This window comes from Homo sapiens, chromosome 6 (assembly GCF_000001405.40).
Source record: "Homo sapiens chromosome 6, GRCh38.p14 Primary Assembly".
Lineage (NCBI taxonomy): Eukaryota > Metazoa > Chordata > Mammalia > Primates > Hominidae > Homo > Homo sapiens.
In genome coordinates this window covers 16,948,462-16,958,726 of record NC_000006.12, presented here as the reverse complement: position 1 = coordinate 16,958,726, position 10,265 = coordinate 16,948,462, and the positions used below count along the sequence as shown (strand labels likewise).

The 10,265-nt window shown below is 36.8% G+C and overlaps 1 long non-coding RNA gene across 1 annotated transcript; it reads left to right on the top strand.

The window, feature by feature from the left end:
* Positions 1-375: 375 nt before the first annotated feature.
* On the top strand, positions 376-10,212 carry LOC107986573 (uncharacterized). The gene is made up of 4 exons (XR_001744006.2): positions 376-457; positions 1,731-1,879; positions 4,581-6,209; positions 9,135-10,212. It is a non-coding gene; the product is annotated as an uncharacterized LOC107986573 (long non-coding RNA).
* The last annotated feature ends 53 nt before the right edge of the window (positions 10,213-10,265 follow it).

The window sequence follows — 10,265 nt, the reverse complement described above, 5'->3', positions numbered from 1 at the left end:
CCTCCCTCCCTGCTTCCCTTTCTACCCCACTTCACTCTCTCGCCTCCCCTTTCGCCCATCTCCTTCCCTCTTTTTTATTTCCCCTCTTCTTTCTCTTTCTCCTACCCAACCTCTTTTTCTTATGCACTATCTCATTTCCTTGCATAGCATATACCTGAAGCATGTTTATATTTTTGTATTTATTAATCAATGTTGCGTATTTTTTACTCAGAATTTTAAAGTGAATCAAATATCTTGTATATCTTCCACCCTGGTCTCTTTTCCTATCCTCCCCGTCTTGCCACTGCTCACTCAACACCACCCCTCCCCAAGAAAAAAAACTTGGTTATTGGTTGCTTTTTTGTTTACTTGTAGTTTTCTATGCTAAGTTAGTGATTCTTAACAGGAAAAAAAAAATCCTAGCCCTGCTCAAGAAACACTAATGAAGACAAGGAAAATGTTGGAGCTATTTTAAATGGTATGCCTCTCTTTGCTATTTGATGCATGTGTTTATTCCCTGCCTTATGCTAGAAATGATTAAGAATACCTTACAAAAATATGAATAATTTAGAAAGATAAAATAAATTAATAGGTCAGAAAATGAGTAAAAGACAATATAAAGATAGAAAGTTTGAAAGAATCAGGAACAAATCATATACTAAACTTGCTGGAATCAGCTCCTCTTCTCATTTTGACTGACCAGATCTATTCTAAGAGATTGTTTTAGCAGAATATCTTTTGCAGAGGTAGGTGGGGGAGACGATTTTCTTTGGAGAAAAGCTGGTCTGGATTTCTATCAGGTTTTCTATTGAGTTGTCATATCATGGCAGTTAGCTAAGCACAAGCATCTAATCTCTGCTGGGAGAAGTCTCCTCAAGCACAAAAAAGAAGAATGAGGGTCATGAAGGGATGATGTTGAGGGTCCAAACCAGAGGCAGGTGAGAGCTTGCACCTTCTCATGACTGGAGAGAGCTTGCATGACGTGTTATGTTCTGGAAGACGGTTCAGCAAGTGCATTAATTTATTTTCCTATTTTGTTCATATATCTAAATCAAGATTTCTTAACCTCAACATTGTTGACATTTTGTCATATTGACATTTTGTGTGTGTGTGTGAGGAGATGTCCTGTGCATTGTGGGATACTGAGCAGCACCCTGGCCTCAACCCAGTAGAGGCCAAGCAAAAATGACAAGCAAAAATGCTTTTGGACATTTCCAAATGTACCCTGGGTGGCAAAATCACCCCTGGTTGAGAACTACTGATCTAAATTCATTCATTCAGTCCAGGGGTTCTGGTGATCTGGAGAGAGATGTGTTCTCCCTTCAAGGGGCTTGAAGTCTTTAGCTGGAAAATTAAATGCAAGTATTTGGACAGTAAATGAATGAAGGAAAGAAAGAATGAATGAATCCTCGAGCCTGGAGAACCTCAGTTTTCTCATCTGAAAAATAGAGATCCTCTAAAAAAAGACTTATTGAGTCCTTACTTGGTGATAAGCATCACGTTTGGTACCTGTTTCTTTAGGTTGCTGTGAGGACCAAGTGAGATGATGCATGAAAAATGTTCAGTGCAGTTTCTGATATATTGTAAGTGTTCAGTAAATGTTTAGCATTATGAATGTTTATTATTATTACCATTGTTATTATCAGCATATATTTAAAGCTTTATTGTTTTCAAAGTTATTTTTAAATGCCACCTCTCTTAATAGTCATAATGACTTAGTGAGTCGTTACTGTTTTTCTGCCGTTTCACAGATGAAGAAACTGAGACTCAGGGAAGAGATGTATCCCATCAATGCCGGTAAACGGCAGGCCCAACACTGAATCTCGTTAAATCCAACTGTTTCCACCTCCTCCATATTGTCTTCTAAAAAGAGAAGAACTGGCAGGAGAAATGCCACACGGTGGGAAATCCACGATGGGTATGGTTGGAATCAGCTGTGCACATCTGTTTGTTTTTTCTTTTCCAGACACAACTGCTTCTAGACTATTATGTTATACTACTAGAAAATGGAAATCCCCACCCAACTTGTCATGTTTGTGTTTTTTCTAAAACACTCTGATGCTTATACAAACCCACACATCCTATCCTAACCTCAGTTCAAAGAGCCTTTGTTAGCAGAGGTACTACGCTTTAAAAGCCACTTATACTTCATGTGCACTGTACACGTGGCTGGGTGCAATTCAGAGTGAAGGATTCTCTGTCTTGCTTCATAAGCACTCAGTCTTTTCCAAGAAAACCTTTGGCTCATTACAACTATGTCATGTATCATATCTAAGATCCCCTATTCAAGTATTGTGATGTGTACTTGTGCTAGTTTCTACACAAGAGGGAGGTATTTATTAGGCCATGCTGCCAACAACTCCTTGTAATATATGACTTCACTAAAATGAAGTTGATAATGTGAGATCCTTGTTTGCCAAAACTTAGTCCTCAAGATTGAGAGTTAAAAGGGACATCTGACAAAGACAGTGAAAAATGCCGTTTGAAGGTCAAAGAAGATAAATTACAATGTAAGGAAATCGTTATTTCCCCATGAAAATGTGACATAATTGTTCTGAACGTCAAAGTTGAATTTGGAAAAATACTGACATTTACCACCTGAGTATCAACAGCGTCATTTCACCCCTATACAGTTAGCTGTTCTTCCCGGGCCTTCCCACTTTATTACCACAACTTTGCCTCCCTCCACCTACACATACAGACCAAGAACACATTTACAGCTTGTGAATATTTCAACATTGTGGTTTTAAAAGGTGCATTAAATTTATGCTAGATGTTGTGTTTCTGATGTGGATAATGTTACATGATGGTATAAAGATCTCCTAAGAGCTACTCCTATTAATACATTGGCAGATGAAATATAAGAGTCGGACACCATTCTTCATTCTCAAAGAAGGAATCCTATTACAATGATAGAGCTTCTTCTAGGAGAGTACCGGGACCTCTTCTGCCTAGAAGAAACATGTTTTTCTTTTTTAAATAATTATGAGAAAGAAAAAACTAGAAAGGAAAATTAAAATTAAATGTACATTTTGGGAAGCAAATAAGTTAAAATATCATGTGAAGCCTTTAATTTGGAAAACCTGGGAGGCGTTCCTTGTTAATTTAAAATTCCCTAGATAATAAAACCCTATGCATGAATTACAAATATTGTATCATAATGTATACTATACATTTGCATAGATTATATGTCTAGCAACCATTTAATGGATGCTCCAGAACACAGTCTTAAGCCTATATGTATCCTGTCCAAGAACTTAAAACAAAAACAAAAACAAAAACAAAACATTGTTTCTGGACTCTACGTGGCCAGGAAATCACAAGATTTTCTTATTCTCTATTATCATGCAAAACCTTAAGCATACGCATATATGGAAATAAGTCACTGAAGGTTTCTAGAACAAATACTCTCCACTGGTGACTCTGCCCACATATTATCATCACTCGGGCTTCCTAGAAGAAGCTGCCTTTTTAATTGTTACTCGTGAACATTTAAGATGAATTGTACAGACTTCTTTTTCATAAAGTCAAAACTATAGCTGAACAATTTCAGTCTTAAAAGATCTTCTCAGATGTTTCCAACTGTCCAATTACAGAGGGTAATATTATATATTTCAGGGTCTGGTTGATGTAACTTAAAAAGCTCTATGAAGCAGTTTTGGTCAATTCACCTAACCTATCTGAGCTTCAAATTTCTCACCTATACAATGTCAGTGGTAATACTTGATAATGTTTATTGAATATTTACTATATTCCAGGCACTATGCTGTATGCTTTCATTAACTCACTTAATACTTCTAACAACCCCTTAAAGTAGGTTTTATTATTACTCCATTTCCCAGATACAAAACTAAGGCTTGGCGATTAAGCAAATTATTGAAGAACACACAACCAATGGGTGGTCTGGTAGGAATGCAAAACCAGGTACAGCTCATCTCAGAACATAAACCCTTAACCATTATCTATTAAGTTAAATACCCTTAAAATATTTAGCAGAGTATCTGGCAAGATAGCAATAAAGGGTAGCAATAGATTTTAAAATGAATATCTGCCTGAAGGTATCTTTGTTTATGACAGAGATTCTAAACTTTGGCGTATATTCAAATCAAAAGGATGATCTTAAAAAACAAAACAACAACAACAAAAAACCCCAAACTTTTGTCCTAATACCATCCTGTACAAATTGAATTAGTATCGCTGGGGCTGAGACCTAAATATCTGTTTTGTTTTGAATTTTTAAAGCTTTCAAAGTTCTGATTTCCAGTAAGATGGAAAAACATATTCCACCCACTCAATGAAGTTAAACACTTGAAAAGAATGCATGGAGCAGTTATTTGAGGGCTCTGAAAAGTAAAAAGTATGTGGATTGGGTAAGACCAGAATTCTAAGTACCACTAAACCATCAATGAATTTACCTTTGTTTTGTTGTAATTGTTATTGTTTGGCCTGGTCTCAGGCATCCTGAAACCCAGACGTGGCCATTGGTATAGACAGAAAGTGCTTCAGAAAAATCCTCTAGTTCAAGCACAAGAAGAAAAGGGGTCTCAACATATAGAGACAGTGTTTTTATTTCTTTATTTTCCTATTCTCTTGCTCCCCAGGTCCCAGTGGCCTATATGCATATGAAACTCTGAAAGAATGGACCTTCCTCTCAGATGGATGGAACTAGAATTTCAAGAGGGTGAGGGAGAGCCCCTGCTGTTGTCTCTCTCTATCCTCCCACTGCTTGGTTCTGGATATGGGATATGCAGGAATTACATGGCAGAATGGGCAAATAAAGTCCAGCTTTCTACCAGAAGATTAAAAAAAGGAATCTCAGAGAATTGGAATGTATCACGGAGATAGCAGAGAGGGAAAAGTTCAGGAAAGTAAACTCATAAAAGTATTTCTGAACTCCTAGTCTTATGACCTGTACAAATACAGGTTGACCTCAACCAGCATCCTATAAACTTTGAGAATTGAACTATAGGACAGATTATTGGCCAGGTCTCAGAATGGCCACTGGATGGTGCAAACCTGGGTCTGATCTGAATACCACTACAAAGCTTTGAAAATGGAATAGACATTGAAACTACAGAAGGCTGTTTGAAACTTGTGGCGTCAATCCAAACATGCTGTTCATCCAGTAAAACAAAAACTTCAAAATTCTTCATAGATTTGAATAAGACCCAGCATCTTAAAACATAATCCAAAATGTCCATGATAAAATAAAAAATTACTCAGCAAATGAAGAACCAGTAAAATCTCAAATTGCATGGAAAAGGCAGTTAACAAATGCCAATGCTGAGATGATATAGATGTTGAAATTATCTGACAAAGACTTTACAACAGCTATTATAAACACGCTCCAAGAAGTAAGAGTAAATATTTTTGAAATGAGTGGAAAGATAGAAAGTCTCATAAAAATTGAAATTATAAAGAATGACATAAAAATGTTAGAGCCAAAAAGTAGAATAACAACTCATTAGATGAGCTCAATATAATAGAAATGTCAAAGGCAAGAGTTAGTAGACTGAAGATAGATCAATAGAAATTATCCAACCTGAGCAACTGAGAGAAAAGAATACTGAAAAAAACAAACAAACAAACAAACAAAAAAACATGAATAGAGTCTCAGGGACCTGTGTGATAATCACAAAATGTGTAATATTTATATCAGTGGAGTCTCGGAAAGAGAAGAGAAAATGAAGTGCATTTTCCAAAAAACGTTAGAAAATAAATGGCTGAAAAGTTTAAGTTTTGTGAAAGACATAAACTTGCATATTCCAGAAGCTAAGGAAACTCCAAACAGAAAAAGACAAACAAATAAACAACTCCCCCACCCACAAAAAACCCAAGCCCAGATACATAATAATGAAACTGCTGAAAACTAAAGACAAAGTATTAAAAACAGCCAAAGAAAAAAATAGCACATGACTTATGGGGAGCAATGTTTCAGCTGACTGTAGATCTGTCATAAGAAGCCATGAAGACAGAACAAAGTGGTGTGACGTTTTAAAAGTCACTATAAATTTCTCATGAAAAACTATGAAGCCAGAAAGAAGTGGCATGACATTTTTTAAGTGCTGAAAGCAAAGGAATATTAACCCACAACTCTATATTCAGGAAAATATGCATGACAAATGAAGGAGAAATAAAGATATTCTCAGAAGAAGGAAAACTAAGAGAATTCTTAACCAGCAGACCTCCTTGAGAAGAACTTCTAAACATTTCTTCTAAACAGACAGAAGGTAAGTGATACTAGAAGGAAATTTAGAATATCAGGAATGATGAAATAAGTACAGAAATGTTAGATATGCAGGCAGACATAGTAGACTACTTTTCTCTTTAGTTTTTTAAAATATATTGGATGATTGAAATAAAAAATTATAACATATTGGATTAGGTTTTCAAAATATATACATACAATGCTTTAGATAGCTACAACATTAATGGGAGAGGGTAAAGGATCTTTTTTTTTTTTTTTTTTTTCAAGACAGAGTCTTACTCTGTCACCCAGGGTGGAGAGAAGTGGCATGATCTCAGCTCACTGTAACCTCTGCCTCCCAGGTGCAAGCAATTCTCCTGCCTCAGCCTCCCAAGTGGCTGGGATTACAGGTGTCTGCCACCATGCTCAGCTAATTTTTATATTTTTAGTAGAGACAGGGTTTCACCATGTTAGCCAGGCTGGTCTTGAACTTCTGACCTCAAGTGATCCACTCGCCTCAGCCTCCCAAAGTGCTGGGACTACAGGCATGATCCCACCCTGGCTGGGCTGGCAAAGGATTCTTAATAGTGATAAGATTTCTCCATTCCACCTAAAGTGATAAAATATTGATCTCTAGTCAACTGTAAAAAAATCTATGTATGTTTATTGCATTCTCTAGAACAATCACCAAAAAAACTATACAAAGAGATATAGCCAAACATACAAAAAAAAAATCACAATGGAGTGCTAAAACACGTTTAAATAATCCCGAAGAAGGCAGAGAAGGGGAAGCAGAAGGAGGAAAACAGAGGAATAAAACAGAAAACAAATAATAAAATGTGGACCTAATTCCAAGTACATCAATAGTTATCTTAAATGCAAATGGTCTAAACATGCCAATTAGAAGACAGAGATTGTTAGCTTAAAAAACAAAAACTGTGACCCAACTATATGATGTCTGCAAGAAACTCATTTCAAATATAATAAGAAAATCAACAAGGTGGAGTTGGAGAAAAGGCATCAGAGTAAAACTGGAAATAGAAACAAAAGCTTGGAATATCATAGGGAAATATCACCTACCTTGTAAGTTTTTCCATATATCTGGGTTATAAAAATAAAAGCCCACTAGTACATTCATTAGAGAATTTTTTATATAAAACTGAAGACATCTTTCAAAAATCACTTCTATTTGTTTCCCTAAAACTTGATTGACCTTAGGCAAGTCATTTCTCCTTTCTGAACCTCCTTTCCTTCATCTATAAAGTGAGGGGGAGGGACTGTCCCCATTCACCCTACTCTTCTTCCAACATGATTAGACTTTATCTAAGGTTTCTTCCAGCTCTGTGATTTTTTCCTATGCTTCTATTTTCCAGCTAATTTTTTTTTCTGTTGTTTTCAAATCACTCTGTATTGGAGCCAAATAATCTTTCCATCATTCTATTTAACTTGCAAAGAAAGTATTACAGATAAAACAGGTGGGAACCTGACTCACTGTCACTCAATCAAAAGCTGTGGTCTGGAAATCTCTCAGACACACACATCTTGAAACAAAAGCAGAAACCAATATGGAAAAAAAAAAAGAACAAGTTCCAGCTGAACATCTTGCTTTATTTTCTCCTGCCATGTAGACACAGGCTTAGGCAACATATATAGCCAACTATTATTTACGTGTATTGAAAACATGGATACATTGCATTTAGAAAGTTACTTGTTACAAACAAAACCTAACAAATTGTTTAGACTTTAATAATGTGAGAAGAAACAGAATAAATTAAAAGCTAACCACATTTTTCTCAGCTTCCTGATGGGTGTCATCCGAACAGCTTGAACAATTGCAAAATATTAGTCAGGTAATTTCCAGGCATTCTGTTATTATCATTTTAACTTGAGAAAAGTTTATTGAACATTTACTGCACCATTCTAGCTCTAGACCCTTTGGAAGACATAACGATGTAAAATATATGGTCTCTATTTTCCAGATATTGCGAAAACTTCTTAGTGGACTTACTGTAAATTCCAGGAAGGCAGAAAATGTGGATGTTTTGCTTATCACCATTTAACCAGTGACTGGCATGGGTGCTATGTGGGTGTGGTCCAGATTAGTTACTGGAAGATATGAGAAATTTATTACAGAGCTAATCATATTTAGCTCCTTACTGAGAGGATGGATCTTCATACAAAAATGGAATTATATTTATATATTTTATATATATACACACATATTTATACATATACACATTGTTAGTTTGTTATATGTGTGCATATCAGAAACAACAAGCAGATTTTTTTAGTTTTTTTTTTAACTTATGTAGACCGCAAAACACAATAAGATTGATGAAAATTTTCAGGTTCATAGCTGGTTTTCTGAGAGTCCAGTTGAGTGGCACTTGTAAAACTCAAATTCCTACACCAGTCACCTGGGGCATCTTGCTAAAATGCAGATCCTAATTCAGTAGATCTGGGGCAGGGCCTGAGATTCACATTTCTTACAAACTTCTGTTGATCGTGGTCCATGGACCACATGTTGAGTATGAGGTGCCAGATGTAAGCTGTGTCCAAGTCCAAGTAAAAGGAGCTGCAGTGACTACAATGTACAGACCTGACAGGGTAATAAAAACAGAATTTTAAACTGGGATGACTATAGAGATTATTTTGGAGAATGAAATCCTTAGACATAAGAGATTAAAAGCACATTCTTCAGTCTCTACAAATAGCTGTGGTTTTGTTCCCACTGGGATTGGGCCTTGAGGCTCCTTTTTAAACCCTCCTTTTCCTTCCACAAATTGATTGTCTAATTTGGTTAAAAAATGAAGTTTAAGAGAAGCCACTGGTATATCTATGGATGGGAAGAAGGGCATTCCCAGCAAAGACAAGAAGCATGTTCTAGGCTGTTGCCTCTGTATGAATGAGTCTTGGGTCTTTGTTTAGCAGGGCTGAGTTACCTTTTTTCTTGGAATCTCTTGCCCAGATGGCCTATGTCTGGTTCCTTCAACAGAAGAAGGAAGAAGAGGAATTTGGGAAATGAGAACAAGTGCTCAGAGATTTCCAAAAAATTATTCCTGGAGGCCTGAATCAGGATTTTTTTTTTTTTAACTCATGCCAGCTGTTTGGTGGTTATGAGTGATTTGGGTCAGGCCAGTTTAATTTCCATCATGCCAGGCCCCGAGACTGAATTTCTGGTATCACCTGGACTCTCTGTCTTCCCTAACCTTAACTTGGAAAATGTCTGATTCTAACCATTCTAACAACACTGTGTAGTGTTATGTCCTAAATAACCCCTGAGAGACTATTTTGACCTGGTTCTGTCTTCATGAGACTAGCCCATGTGGATGAGAATGAATGTATTTGAGGAAGAGAGGATGGTCATTGAAAACCTAAATGAACTCATTTTCTAACTTGCCTGGAAGTCACCAGCATTTTTCATTTATTTGGAGATTGTTTTCAAGGGGACATTCTCACGCTAACCAAGTCTAAGGACACCTACAGAATCTGAACTTTCAATCTGCAGCATGTCCATCATCATCAGATGATGAACTGTGTGTGTTGGCACATTGTGGGAGGAGGTACATGGGCAGGAAACATTAATAACAGTTTGTGCTGTGAGCTCAAGAAAATCACTGGTCTGACATCATCGCTAAATATTGGAGGGTCTTAGGAGTCTCTAGATCCCTGGATCCCTCTTGGGAGTGAGGATCACGGACTTCCTCTTCAGTGAATGGAAATCTTACAACAAGTTCGCATCAACATCTTTGAGCCATTTCCTTCAGAGAAATCAACTGCTTTTCAGAGGACTTTCTCTCTGTGAATATTCTCTTTCTTCCCACGTCCCACTGCCTCCAACCCTTCAACTGAAAGAGAAAAAGCAAAGGCAGCAAGACAAGTGTGAATCTTGAAGGTACGTTGGATGGAAAGCACATACACAGGGAGCAAACACATATGCATCTGAGTTGCAGCTGTATCAGTAACCAGCTGTATGACCTTTGGCAAGTTGCTTAATGTCTCTTGTGTTTCCATTTGTGGTTATAAAATAAAAGAGTTGGACAAGAGGATTTCAACCTACTTTTTTCAGCCTTAAATATCTAGGAGTCTACAGCTTAGC